This window comes from Homo sapiens, chromosome 1 (assembly GCF_000001405.40).
Source record: "Homo sapiens chromosome 1, GRCh38.p14 Primary Assembly".
Classification (NCBI taxonomy): Eukaryota; Metazoa; Chordata; class Mammalia; order Primates; family Hominidae; genus Homo; species Homo sapiens.
Window position 1 is genome coordinate 196,594,077 of NC_000001.11, and position 15,624 is coordinate 196,609,700.

A 15,624-nucleotide genomic window follows, 5' to 3' on the forward strand; every position below is an offset into this window, starting at 1 on the left:
GTTGATCATTTACAACACCTCCACATGTCCCTTGGACAATGGCACTGCTGGCTGTCAAGCAGATTGATGGTTTTCACTGAGCAGTTCCCTGTGTAAATTTCAGAATTCACTTTAACAGTCATTTGAACTGTCACAGTATGAATTATGGACTGAAGCACATTCTGCTTTGCTATTTCCACAGAAAAGCTCCTTGTGAATATTAAATTAGATGTAGAAAAGACATTTTCAAGTCAAATACCTTAAACTACAATGCCTAGGCTTAGAATGAACATTAAAAACTATTTTGTTTCTAAGGGGGATCAGAATTTTAATTCAAATGACTCATTTTTATTATAATAATGTACACATATATATGTGGTGGCCTATATATTCATAGCTGTGACATATTTCTTTTTCTTTTGGTAATATCTTCTTTATACTACAGGACTAAAATTCTTGGAGCCTTTGTATGGACTACTTGCGTTAAATAATGTAGGAGGATCCAAAACGAATTAAAGACATGGCTTTACCTCTAGAAAGTTATGTTATACCTTCAAAAATATAAGCATAATTATAAAACAAAATAATGGCATGTAGAATATATGGAGTAATCAGAGTGATTTCAAAATGTCATTAATAACTCTGGCACTGCATCCAATTTAGAGTCTGGTAATGAAAAAGGGGGTGACATGATACCAGACAGCCTCAGATCATGGTATGACACAAGCAAAGGCACTAAAGCAGACATCAGCTTGTGAAAAGAGGGATGATTTCTGTGAATAAATACACAGATCAAATTTCAAAAAGCATTTTAGGAAGAAAAGCCAATTAATAAAGAGCTTTGAATGTTGAGTCAGCAGTTTATATTTCAAATAATAGCATTAACGGCATACCATAGGTTTTTAAATGGGAATATGATATGGTAAAATCATGTTTAAGAAGACTATGATGAAAATGCATAGGTTGACTGAGGCTCGAGTTAAGCATTGAAGATTATTGGAGATAGGGTGCATAAAACAGACCTGGAATAATGAGCTATGCTGGCAAGTGCTGTAGTAATTTAAATAAGATAGGATGAAACTGTACCAAGAAAGAATAGGTGGAGCTCAATACCTAATTGAGGAGGGAATTTGAAAAAAATAGTACAAATCTACTGTAAGTTTTTGAAATGGAGAATTGAAATAATTATATTGATATTAATGAATTAATTGATATTAATGAATTAATGATATTAATTCACTATAATTGAAATAATTATAGTGATAATAATGGTGATAGACAAATTAAAAAGCTGTGCACTAGCTTGAGGTTATTCATATGATATGAATTACTTAGCAACCAGAAGTTGGCTACAATAGTCATGTGCTTTATATATATCTCTATCTATGTGCATATAAACAGTCATCCCTTGGTATCTAGAGGGGGCTGGTTCCAGGACCCCTGGGGATACTAAAATCCACAAATGCTCAAGTCTCTGATATAAATGACATAACGTTTGCACATAACTTAATCATACCCTCCCATCAAGTATAAATCTAGATTACTTATAATAACTAGTACAATGTAAATGCTACGTAAATAATTGTAATACTGTACTGGGTTTTCATTTTTATTTTTTGTAGTAGGCTTTTAATTTTTATTTTTATTTCAATAGTTTTTGGGGCACAGGTGGTTTTTGGTTATGTGGATAAGTGTTTTAGTGGTGATTTCTGAGACTTTAGTACACCCATCACCTGAGCAGTGCACACTGTACACAATATATAGTCTTTTAACCCTCACCCTTCCTCCCGACCTTCCCCACAAGTCTCCAAAGTCCATTATATCACTCGTAGGCCTTTGCATCCTCATAGATTAGCTTCCACTTACAAGTGAGAACACATGATGTTTGGTTTTCCATTCCTGAGTTACTTCACTTAGAATAATGGCCTCCAGCTCCATCCAAGTTGCTCCAAAAGACATTATTTTGTTCCTTGTTATGGCTGAGTTGTATTCCATGATGTGTATATATATATATATATATATATATATATATATATATATATATATCACATTTTCTTTATCCAGTTGTTGGTTGATGGGCACTTAGGTCAGTTCCATATATTTGCAATTACAAGTAATGCTGCTATAAATATGCATGTGCATGTGTCATTTTCACACACATAGTGACTTCTTTTCCTTTGAGTAGGTACCCAGTATGGGATTGCTAGATCAAATGGTAGTACAACTTTTAGTTTTTCAAGGAATCTCCACACTGTTTTCCACAGTGGTTGTACTAATTTACATTCCCACCAGCAATGTAAATGTGTTCCCTTTTCACCACATCCAAGCCAACATTTATTGTTTTTTGACTTCATAATCATGGCCATTCTTGTGGGAGTGAGGTGGTATCACATTGTGGTTTTAATTTGCATTTCCCTGATAATTAGTGATGTTAAGCATTTTTTCATGTTTGCTGGCTATTTGTGCATCTTGTTTTGAGACTTGTCTATTCATGTCCTTTGCCCACTTTTTGATGGGATTATTTGTTTTTTAAAAATAATTTCCCTCCATGATTGGTTAAATCCACAGAAGCAAAACCCATGGATATGAGAAGGCTGGCTGTATATGGCTATATTAATAACCAAATTCAGGATTCTTACAAAGTCTTTATTTTTCAATTATTTATTTTGTTTGTTTGAGACAGGGTCTCGTGCTGGCATGCAATCATGTGATCACGTTTCACCGCAGCCTCGACCTCCCAAGCTGAAGCGATCCTCCTACCTCAGCCTCCCGAGTAGCTAGGATTACAGCACACACCAACACACCTGGCTAATTTTTTGTACTTTTTGTAGTGATGGAGTTTTGCCATTTTTCCCAGGCTGATCTAGAACCTGGGCTCAAGCAATCTGCCTGCCTTGGCTTCCCAGAGTGCTGGGATTATAGACATGAGCCACCCACCCAGCCCTTACAAAGTCTTAATAGAACATTAAATTGTATATTTACTTTGGGCACTTGTGGAAAAAGAAAATAAATTAGTTAGTCCAATATAGGTGAAGAGGAGAGAGTAAACATAATTCAGGTTTGTGTTTTGGTTAGAATCCTAGTATGTTCTCCATCAAAGGACAGCCATTCTATTATAGTATCTATTGACTACATTTACATATCAGGTTCTCAACAAAGAATGTAACTTCAATCTCTTCGCATCCTTTATTATTAATCAAAGCCACCTACACTAAAAAAAAAAGGTTTTTAAGGAAGATTACATGAAAGACTGAGCAGTGTACACTGTACACAATATAATATATCAATAATATAATCAATCTGTAACCTCACGTACTTTTTTTTTTTTTCCTATGGGATATACCTGAAATACAGTACTGGGTGTGTCCTGTAGATCTACTTTAAGAGAACAATTCTCTATAGTTATATCAGCACCAGGGAGTGAGAATGTTATGAGTCTTATGAAACTTGCTATTTTATGATAGGAGAGTGGATAAGAATACTGTACACTAATCAAAGATCCACAGGATAAATTTTCTTTAAATTTGAGCCCCAAGGAAAGCTGTGTTTCTTCTGAACTACCAGTTCATTTCTCATCTTATGCAACTGATCATGCCCTTATCTTTGCTCTGGCTAACCTCGCAACCCATCTCCAGTAAATACATACAAATTTGTGGAAGTCATACTATGTACCTACATACTCCTAACTTGGTTTTTTCCTTATTATCTTTTCATTCTGTTGTACTTTCTGTTTACTCTATGCTATTGCATGAATTTCTGTGAACCACTGCAAATCTTTAGAATAGGCAAAACATACTAATAAGTAGGTGTAAGTGTTAAGCCCTAAATCAAGTAACTTCACTTTATGATATGTAAATTTCATAACATCCCTGCATAGTGTTTTCATTATCCCAGTACAGTGTTGAGAAAAAAATCAATTTCACTCTAGTACAAATACTTCAGGAGATAGAAGCATAAATAGGAAATCTTAAAGTCTTACTGAGAAAAATATTAAAAAATAAAACACATAGCTATAAAAAATAGTAATAATTGTGGATTAACTAAAGTAGCAAATAAATGGATGACCCTGTCCAAAGCATTCAAAATGGACATTTTAAAACGTCTTAGTAAGTTAACTATTTGATCTTACATGATGTCTTTTTGATTGATATATGCTCATGATTCATTTATTATTCACTTGCTTTTTCATATTATCCATTGTGCTGTTTTTATTTTGTTCCTGGGATACTGTTTTCATTTTGTTTCTGGGATACTAACTACCTTTACCCTATTTCAGTCAATCAATCAATAATAATCTATACCCCCATACACACACAAATAAAACCATTGCCTTAGTTTGTTTTGCTGATTTTCCATGTCATTCTACTTTCTCCAGACTATCAAAAGAACCATGCTCTACATCTAGAGGCAAAAGAGGTTTTTCTTTCAGAAAGTATGACCAACTTCAAAAATTCCTTAACACTTATTTTAATCAAGTCACTATAACACTGGCCTATGGGGATGCAAGAGCTGTATGACTTTTCTGACTTCAAAAGCCTTTAAATTTGTTTGAATTTTGTTCTTCCTATTATTTAAATAGCATTAAATCACATTTGTGTATGTTGTAAACATAGTGAATAGGCATAATAATTAGATTCTAGTTACCTCTTACAGGTCATGTGACTTTGAACAAGTGATATATTTCTGTACCTTGGTTGATTCATTTGTAAAATGGGAAAAATAACAGAATTTCTCAGAATTGGTATAAAGATTAAATAAAGTAATACGTAATACATGTAACATGCTTAGAAAAATGTTTGACACATGCTAAGTAGTTGGTAAATGTTCTCTGATGCTGTGATAAATACTATATTCAATATTATCATACATTTTCACCTTATCTTCTGCATTTTTATTGGAAATGGATGAAATAGCACATAAACTCTTTTGAGCAGAGAAAGGTAAGAAATGGAAACAAAATACTGACAGCTTCCATCTATAATTTGCCAATGTAATCACCACATGGTGTGGCAGTGACAGAAGTCATTACCATCACTCCTTAATGGAACCTGTGCAGCTTGCTGATCACCCTATCTGATCCCTAGGGGACAGAGTAGTATTTCAGTTTTTGACAGACTTGAGACAGCAGGCTGTCCATTATTAAACTAGACATCTGGACCCTGTTGTTAACAACTAGTTGTTTATAATATGTGGACAATCTACAAGTTTTCCCACAGGGAGTTAAATGAGGTTGAAATGTGTTAATCCACTTTTATCCCTATTCACACAGTGATTTACAAGATGGCTAAGTGTGCCCTTGTAATAACAATTCATCATTATGATTCTGTGTAAGTCCAGTGCAAGAAAGCCAGGAACAACCAGTTCACTGTTTCTTAGATTTACTGTTTTCTGGCTTTATATGCAAAGTCCATTTCTTACCCATATTTACATACTGTGAAAATTGGAAGTAATACAACTCTGAATTCAAGGAATGTGTACACAGAGGGATATGATTCTCACCCTTTAAAGCCGTGGCATAATTGCAGTAGTGCTAAGACTACTAAAGCACTGATTGGAAGAGAGGTACAGCTAAGACTCTAAAGAGGAAAGAGGTCAAAGAGTTGGAGATGTGCTGCCAGGCGATTGTCCCCTACACATCAGCCATGCTTGACAATTGGGTTCTGTTTCTGTTTTCCTTCACTGCTTCTATTTCTCAGAAAAGACTAAGATAAATACGTTCAATCTAAGGCAAAATTGTGGAGAGAAATCTCACTGTCCTTAGTCTCCCTCTTTTGCTGATTATCTTCTGCCTCACATCCAAGAGCATATTTTTCTTTCTTTCAGGCAACTAGGGCTTTCCAGGTTCTCAACTCTTTACCTCCAAACTCCAAAGCCATCTCCACTTCCCAGTCAAGAGAGACAAATAAGTCTAATATCACTGAACTAATTTATTTCATTTACGTTAATGATTTATTTTTTCATGTATATGCAATGGTTCCTCCTTAATCTGAAATTATACTACATGTAAGACTTTATGTATGAGTCAGCTTGTTCTAGTTGTACCTAGTTATTAAGGAGTCAGGGTCAGAAATTTCTAATTCACTCCTCTGCTTTTATATGACCAGCTACAGAGAATCCAACATCATTTCACGGTGTTTTCTGGCCTCCATGGAGCCTAGTTTTCTATTCATCTGCTGCAAGCATGTACGTGATCACTCTTCTACATGAGAGGTATGCAATGAAATATCCCTGTGTCTTAGGGTCCGCCAATACCGAATTTTCTGGGACAAATTGTGAAGCCAAATACACATAAACAAAGCTGTAAGCTGGAGAGATGGAGGTGGTTGGCTGCAAGGCATGCAAAGGAACCACAGCTCCTAAGAGCACAAAGTTTTTGTTTTTATTACATGAGCGTTTAATTAAGAAAACTACAGTGACAAAACACATAATATCAGAAAAGTTGTCACTATCAGTGATTGTTTTAGGCAACAAAAACTAATGATGTAGTTTGGTTGACGAAGTAAAACATGGTTATGATGTGTGGTGAATTTCTTGGTTTCTATGTTATGGAGCACAACAATAGAAATACATTTATATTAGATATCCATACTTGATATGGATCACACTGAATGACAGATTAACAGTGTTCTATATTTTATTTAATTGCAAGAGTAAAACAGTATCTATGCTCAATATTGACAATTTGTTTATTCATAAAATTTGGTCATTTGCTGATACCTTTAAAATTTCACACACCACCAGCACTTCTACTTCTAAAGAAGTTTCTGGCCTTGCTTATCCATCTCTACTCTACATAGGCAGAAATCTCAAGATGAGAAGGGACTTAAAGTCCCCCACCTTCACTTGTATCCTACCATCTACAACCTCACCCAACCAGTTTTGACTTTGTACTGTGTATGAAATTGTGTCAGTGCTCCAGGCCCATCCTTCTCTTCTATAAGTGATTTTCTCCATAGCTATGGATAGCTTCAGTAACAAGCCACATGTAAAGCCTAGTTTGGTCTCTTGAACTCCAGACCCATACTTCCAAATGCCTCCTGACTCTCCTCAGTTCCTTGAAAATGCCTTGCTCTCTCCCAGCACTGGCCTTTTAGGCAAGCTGCTCCTTAGCCTGAAATATTCTTTTCCCATTTAATCTACCAGCATCTTCTCATCCTTACACCTCGATCTCAACACAGATTTCTTTGAAAACTTTCCCCAGACCACTATTTCATCTGCCAGACTAGGCTCATCTTCAATCATGCTCTCTCATAACATTGTGCCATTCTCCTTTATAGCCTAGCACAACTGTAATTAAGTTCGCATATGTATTTTTAAATCTAATATCGGTTTCCACTACTGTAAAATCATTTACATCTGAACTAGGTCTATTTTGCTCACAATTTTATCCCTAGAGCTTAGTGTGCTTCTTGATAATTAGTAGGGTGTTTAATGTCTGTGAAAGAACGATGTCAATGCTATTAAGGGTTTCTGCAGGCTATCATTTAAATTTTGAAATGATAAAGACCAATATATCCACAACTGTCAGAAGTTTCTGTAGGGAGATGTTATTTAGCAAAAACAGAATTGGCTCTACTGATACGGTGATTATTTTAAACCACTTATTATGATGGTGTTTCACCAATTTTATAGCCATCTTACCAATTCTCTGACCCTGTATGTTAGCCTACTTCCTTTTTTTAGAATTGCCACATAAAATTACAAAACAATGTAAAAGATAAATTGCCCCATACTGCATTTTTATTCCTAAATATTTTATCTAAAAGTCTTATTTCTTTGGTAATATGTCTGACATTCATATCCATCCTAATTTCAAAAAGAAGTTGAGCAGATGATTATAACATATTGTTACCAGTATGGATACAGTTTATCCTATTTACTATCTCACAATGTTTAGATAGACGTCTGTTACTTAAATTACAATTCAATTGCTAATGATTAAGATTCTGTGAAAAGGATTTTTTTCTATGACCCATTAAAAAAAATCCCATATCCAATCAAGGATTGTGAAAGATTAAAAATAATTGTCTTTCTGGATAATTATTTATTGTTTTGATTGCTTTTGCAGAGAAAATTTTAATTCCAAATTTAAAACTCAGAAAAAGACATCTCAATGAAGGATACCGCTAAACATTAAATATTGCTCAGAAAAAGGCCAAGTGAACTTAATTTCAAATTGTAAGTATATAAAGCAACTGGTTACCGTTTTACTGTAAAAAATATTGCTTTTTGCTTTATTTTCTAAAGACAACTTAGACAAGCATGGTGCATAATAAATAATATGACATAGGCAATACATAAATTAATAAAAACAGATGAACCATCAATGACAAAAGGATCAATTGCTGTGATCTCAATGTTGGTGTCCCCATGAAATTCATATATTGGAACATAATACCGAATGTGACAGTATTCAGTGGAGCCCCAGGGAAATGATTAAGTCACTCACAGAAGTACTACTAATACATAACCAAATGCAGAAAGTGGCTATATGATAGCTGTTAAATTAAATCAAACTTTAAAAATAAAGTATCAGTAATTTGAAAAGTCACATTTCAATTTTATTTATAAGAATTGGTTAAAAGAAAAGAACCTTGTGTGTTTTATATAAAATATTGATGTCTGAATTCTTAGTAGTGATTGAAAAACAATAATTATTAAATAATACATTTTTCTCTGCATTTTATGTATTACACTATATATATTCAAAGTCTATTTTTTTTTTTTTTTTTTTTTTTTTTTGAGACGGAGTCTCGCTCTGTCGCCCAGGCCGGACTGCGGACTGCAGTGGCGCAATCTCGGCTCACTGCAAGCTCCGCCTCCCAGGTTCACGCCATTCTCCTGCCTCAGCCTCCCGAGTAGCTGGGACTACAGGCGCCCGCCACCGCGCCCGGCTAATTTTTTGTATTTTTAGTAGAGACGGGGTTTCACCTTGTTAGCCAGGATGGTCTCGATCTCCTGACCTCATGATCCACCCGCCTCGGCCTCCCAAAGTGCTGGGATTACAGGCGTGAGCCACCGCGCCCGGCCCAAAGTCTATTTTTTATACCATTATCTGTTTAAGTTTCTAATTTTCTATTGCCTTATTTGTGGATATTTTTCTTAATAAAGTCGATATTGATAAGAAACACAGGATTGTCTAAACTCTCTTTCTAAAGTAAATGCTTAAATCATTTTTGTAGATATTGTATATGCATAGTTGATGCCACTATCGATTAAAGAGTAAAAATAATGTGTCATTCATTTTAATGGCGCTCAAAAATTTAAAATTGTCTTTACTAACCTGAACTTAAAATTTAGAATAAATATTTTATAATAAATGGCTGTTTTTCAAAACAATATATAATTTATAATGGAGATAAAGTTAGTAATTTATAAAATGTTTAATATGTCAATACAAAACCCATTCTCACAATTGAATTTGATTATGTAAAGCAATATATTTTGCAGTGTATATCTAAAATTACACATATTCCAAATGCTGTGGAAATATTTTTCTATTTTTGTAAATACCTCTTAAACTGTTAATGGATTGACTTGTACTATGTTCAAATCCTTTAATGTTTTAACAACTACAATGCATTAGTTGACTTCCTTGAATTACTTCTAAAGGCCACCTATAAAATACAAAAGGTATGCATGATTATTGGATTTGAAACAAGTGACCTGATTTTTGAAAACTAGAATGGTCTTAAATAAATGACCTTCTCTTCTATGGCTACAACTGAGGATTTTCCATTAACAGTAGTTGGAATTGTGACAATTTATTCACATTAAGTGTGTTGTGTTCCAAAGTTTAAAATTACTAAATCATGATGAAACAGGAGAAGACTTGTATAACTGGCTGATGACTTTTAAAACCTGTAACTTATCAGTGTTTAACTGCAGGAGAATACTCTAAATCTTTACTGCTTTGTGAATCATAGAAATATTAAAACAGAAAACAGGCTTGGAGCAGTGGCTCCCACCTATAATCCCAGCACTTTGGGAGTCCAAGGCAGGAAGATGGCTTGGTGCCAGAAGTTGAATATTGAATGTTGAATGCCTTGAGCTATCTCTAATATGTGATTTCAACTACTTTATTTTCAAGCAAATGCTGAATATCCTTTCTACAAATGGTGCAGAATCTTCTTGACAGTATTAAAATGGAAATTCTATAAGGACATCATCATAACATAAACAATACTGTCAATATTCTGAGGTGAATTAACCTCTTATCATATCTGTGACCCCCTCCAGACTGAGCGCTATTTCATATTCTTTTCCGTATTTGTCCCAAAACCTAACTTAATGGGGCCCTGAGACATAGCAAACATTCAAATATTAGCTGAATGAATGAATGGCCATTAAAGACATATCATACAAACCACTTGAATTAGATTTTTGTTTTTTGCTCAGGATGTCAAACAAGTAAGTGTGCATCATATATACAAAAGACATCCCTACACATAAGCAATATTCTCATTTAGCAACTCAAATTTATTTCATGGCCTCACAGAAGTAGTGTTATCCATGTGCTAAATTCTCTGCACTGCTGTGTCTAACCCTATTCCCATATGTCCTACTCAGAAAAGGATATCAGAGTGCAAATGAGAGAGAAGCAATTATCTAAGGATGGCGTAAAGATAATACAAAGACATATCTATTCATTACATATATTATAATATATATTATTAATCACATATTTGTAATATATGATGCATTACATAATATACAATTTTAGCATACAATATACAATATTTTATAATACATATATTACAAAAGCAATGCATATCTGTTACATATACACTATATACATTACATGTACATTATGCCAGTGTATGTGTATGTGTTTTTACCTACACAAAAGGTGGCACAATATAAATTTAGATGACCTACTTATCCAAAGTTGATTCACAGAAAATCTATGGTATGGAATACACATTTCCTACACCTAATAGGCCCATCAATATTATGTCTTTAACAACACCCATTTGAGCATCTATCATATGCTTCATTCATTTTCATGTGCCAGTCAACTATGACCTAAGATGGAGTTTGAAATTCTTACAGTGAGGAACAAGGTAGAAAGTGTTTATACTCCTACATTTGGAACACAATTCCCCCATCATTACAAGGATGTGGCTCTCTACATCCAGAAAACAGCTATCTTGATGCAGATTCTCCCAGAAGGTAAGCTTGAGATAGGATTGCAGCAAAAGCAGTTCATTTGGGAATTGATCACAGATAAAATACCAGTAGGGGAGAAGAGAGACAGAAGCCAATAAAGCTTTCAGTATTAAGCCAGTTATCACTGCGGGCAAGTGGAGCTCAGTCCCTTTGGACACAGTGTAGAACATGCTTCAGAATTCTCCAAGCTAAGGAGCAAGGAAGCAAAAGTATTGATTCAGAAACAGCCTATTTACTCAGTGACACTCCAGCTTGTTCTCCAAGCAGGACTTGGATGCACCTGAGGTTGGTGGTGGGGAGAAAACCTCATGCAGGAGGTGTTCAAAGAAAGTTGCTTTGAGAATATGGGCAGAGCACTAAATGTATCTGTTGTTGGAAATGATCTACCTACTCCTACATGAAAGAGGGCTTCCTCCTCAACTCTATAAGAATTGAGTCCAAGAAGATAACTGAGTAGAATGAGATTGCTATCCAGGCGTAATTGCAAAGAGGAATTTGTCACCATATTATAGACAAGGAAGATGACTTTACCTACCACATATTAGCTTAGGAGTCTGAAAAGGGAGAAAAAAAGGATTGCAAAGGGCAAATCAGAAGTGAAGAAGGGAACTAATATTTAATGAGCACCTAAACTATGCTAGGTGCTGTAAATTATTCTTATAAGTTCAAATAAATTAAGTGAAAAGAACTTAAGAATTTCTTGAGGGATTTGAATAATAATAAACTGAACTGAAGAGTTATCTTTACACTGATAAGATATAATATCCAAGACACGTATTTAATTTACCAAAATTTCAGTTTCCTTGTGCCTAACATAATTGCCTGCTATTCAGAGTTTGTCTGAGGATTAACTAAGAAAGAACATACCGCACAGTTAAAAGAACTTGGGAGTACTTATTTCCAACTAAATGTTAGTTCTGCGCCTCTCCATCCTTCCTCTTGTCACAGTTTTATAAGGTAGACAGTATAATTCCCATTATAAAAAATAATATTGCTGAATCTCATAATGGCTGAATGACTTTCCCAAGGCCACTCAGCTAGTGAAGGAAACAGCCAAGGACTGAATCTGGGTTTCTCTGATTCCAAGTATCTTGCCTTCAAAGATTAACAACAAATGGAACCAAAACCAAAGAATAGTTTTCCATGAAGCCACAAAAGTAGCCAAATCCTTAAAAATGGTTGAATGATTGTTTTAAATATTTAATAACTTATTTTAGTAGTAAATGTGGCCTGCTTTTTAAGTTAAAGTTGGGCTAGCATAACCTTTTAATAGAACATAAAATTTTAACCATTCTGCAAAACTTTTTTAATATGGCACTGATCCATTTAGGCAGTGTTCAACTAACCAAAATTCTTAATTACTAAAATATTTCTGCAGCATCCTTAGAAAAATGAGGGCAACCACATGAAAATTAACATATTGGATATGATATTTAAAACAAACAAACAACAATACCATCACTATAACCAAAGTATGTGCTTTATGTGTTTAATCTATCTCACACTTTCTACAAAGAGGATTTCTATTCTATATAATGATCCTGAGGTCCTGAACTAAATATACATTCAGTCACTAGGAACACCATGCTACACTTACTAAGCCATTTAACCAGGCTAATGCAGTTTATCTAAATGTCAATTTGTATTACAAATTCACTTAAAAATTATTTTCTTTATCTTCAGTTTACCCAAACACTTTACAAGAATACTGAGAAATTGGTATTACTTCTTTAAATTTTTAGCCAATATGTGTGGTTTTGCCTAAAAAAGAGATTGAACCAAAATATCCTCTACAAAACATCCATCTCCTTTCAAATTACTAATATGAGACCAAACAAGATGCCCATAATTGATGCTCAAGATAAAATCCTCAGTGTGTAGAGACAGGAGTTGGTATTGGGAGCTGAAAAGGTGAAGAAAAGAAATAGAGTGTATTGGTCAGTGGTGAATGAGGAGGGGATTTTGGATTGGACCAATAATGGATCTTTTATATAACTAAAATAGCACATCAATACTAAACTAAACTTCAATGAAACATTTCAATTGAGTTGAGAACCTAGTTAGTATACATGTATTATTTTAAAACAAAGAAATGTGGCATGTGATATATGGGATGACTATTCCAGAAAATACTAAATTCGCTGAAATACAAAATGTGCTTGAGACAGAAATAGACAGAGGAATTTCAGAAGTTTGTGCAAAGCAGTAATGCTATAAATAAAACACATGAACAATATTTTGCTAACAATAAATATTCTAGTTTTGAAACTTAATTTTAATTTTGAGACATATATTCTGTTTCAGTTAAAAAAATATACTAGTTATGAAAAGGTTGTATCATGTTATACAAACATCATTATTCATAATGGTCAGAGTCACCTGTTCAAAGTGAGTATATTGTATTAAAAAGGTTGTCATTTTCACTAACTACCTGTTACATATTTAAACCAATTGTCTACTTAAAACTCCAAAATGTTTAAACAGCATAAAATTTCCAGTGCCAAGTAGATACCTACTCAAGACAACACAGACAAGGAGGAGGTAAATAGACTCAGGAGATTTTAAGTTTCTAATGTGCTTTTTCAAACAACTTGCATGCAATTTTGAGTTTGATTAACCACACCTAAGGAAAAAATGCAAATTTTCTGGAAATGATATTGCATACCATTTGGGTGTATTGTACCTCTGATACCAGCCTTATACACATCCTAGAAAAGCACAGATAGACAAAAGAATAAGCACCAAATGAATGCAATAAATACCTTGCAAGAATAAGAAAAGTGTAAAGAAAAAGAGTTCCTTATCTATAGCAACAGTTATATAGAGTCAAAATGGAGAGACAAATCAGAGTCTCTTTTACTCCCTCCCCCAGCCTAGTCTCCCTCTCTGGCTCCGTTTTCCTTTTCTCCCTCCTTTCCCCACTTCGGCCCTCCCATTTCCGTCTCTTTTTCAGCAATATTTACAGAACAATCCTCCACCACACCACTCACCTGTCGTCGTTTTGCCATCCTTGGTCCCCTAGCAGCAAATCTCGAAACCTGTACCTGGGAGGCAGAGGGGGCACTTCGCTCTCCAAATCAACCATCCTTCCTCAAAGAGTGGGAAACATCAAACAACAAATGGAGGAGAGGAGGGAGAAAGAAAGAAAATATTGCGGAGTACAGGGAGAGGACTAACAAGACGCTGTGGCCGAGAGAGGGATGGGAGAAGGGGAAGGGGACAGGGAGGGGGAGGGGGTCCGCTTGGAGCCGGAAGCTAAGGCTTGAAAGGGGGCTGGCTCCTCTTTCCCGAGGGTGTAATGGGGATGATGCAAACCCAACCCAGGAGCAAAAGTCTGGCTCTGACAAGAATCAACGCTGCCAAGGAACCGCCCCCAGGCTCGGCACCGCCTCTGGTCCCCAGGACTAGGGGGAGGCGGGTATAAAAAGTTACTTCGCCGAAAAAGACGCGCGGTGCCTAGAAAGAGGGGAGAGGGGTGGGAGTGAGCGCCGCTTGATGGTGAAGCACTTTCCTTAAAGGCAGTTGCCAGATCCTCCCAGAGGGCAGCCTCCCGGCTACTGTTCCCTCGGGCGGGCTTGCATCCGGCACAGCCCTGAGCTGGCGGGAATCGGGGGCGGTGGGTTTCGGCCCCAGACGCGGCCAACCCGGCTCTCCCCGCAATCTCCCTGTGGAGATGGAGCTGGAGGCCCAGCCAATGAGACTCCCCCTCATTAGCATAGCACAGTGACGGCACGGGGGTGCCTTGGGGACAACCAATGGGGGCGAGCTAATTAGCGGATTGCGGGGCTCCAGACCCTTCTCTGGGAGGAGGGGGGCCAGGGTGCTTGGAGTGTTCCACTATGCCACGAGCTCCCTCGCTTTGATTGCCTTCAGTCCAGGTGGGCGGGATGAAAAAATTGCACGTTTCTGGAAAGGGAATCCCCACTCTCAGCCCCAGGAAAATCCCATTTTTTTCTCACATTCTGAAAGAAGGGAGGTGTTTCCCTGAACTCGGGGAAAAAGAAGGGCCACCTTAGGCCGCTGAAGAGAAGCATTTAGATGACAGGGAAAGCACATGGAAACGCACTGAGGATTTTACAGTGGTGAGTTGCTGTTACTGCTGTCGCTGCTACTAGCAGCGTTGTGGGCTTCCAGGTGGCCTGGCCTCAGCCTTCGGTCCCCTCCTATTAGTGGTTCACACGGAGGAAGAAGTGAGCCCGAGAGAACAGGGTCTGTTTTTCAGTAAGAACCACTGCTTACATGAACCCTGCTACACAAGCTATGGTTCTATTTGCGCTTACCGTTCTTTCCTTCAAAAACTGATTGCATCAGAGTATATACAGACCGAATACCAACCACCTGACAGCCTGGGCCGGAGGATAACCATATGGCTTCTCCTGCCCTTACTTAAGAACCGCTCTGTGTGGAGGAACAAGCTTGTTCCTTGATAAATGGATACGATGTGAGAGACAATAATCAAAGAACATACAGAGGGAT

The 15,624-nt window shown here is 36.3% G+C and overlaps 1 protein-coding gene across 13 annotated transcripts in view, besides 1 other annotated feature; it reads right to left on the reverse strand.

The window, feature by feature from the left end:
• The window catches only part of KCNT2 (potassium sodium-activated channel subfamily T member 2), a 382,662-nt gene extending 368,298 nt beyond the window's left edge, over nucleotides 1-14,364 (reverse strand). For all 13 annotated transcript variants that reach the window (NR_146057.2, NR_146058.2, XR_001737149.3 and 10 more), the window contains exon 1: nucleotides 14,139-14,364. Coding sequence is in view for 9 of the 13 variants with exons in the window: in NM_001287820.3 (NP_001274749.1) it covers nucleotides 14,139-14,233 (95 nt within the window). In the remaining 4 variants the exon portion in view is untranslated. The remainder of the gene's footprint in view (nucleotides 1-14,138) is intronic.
• Nucleotides 14,699-15,215: an enhancer, noted in NCBI's record as "H3K27ac hESC enhancer chr1:196577905-196578421 (GRCh37/hg19 assembly coordinates)". NCBI's record gives its function as "activates a minimal SCP1, AML or CMV promoter by ChIP-STARR-seq in primed H9 embryonic stem cells {active_cell/tissue: H9 hESC(primed)}" and the evidence as "EXISTENCE:reporter gene assay evidence [ECO:0000049][PMID:30033119]".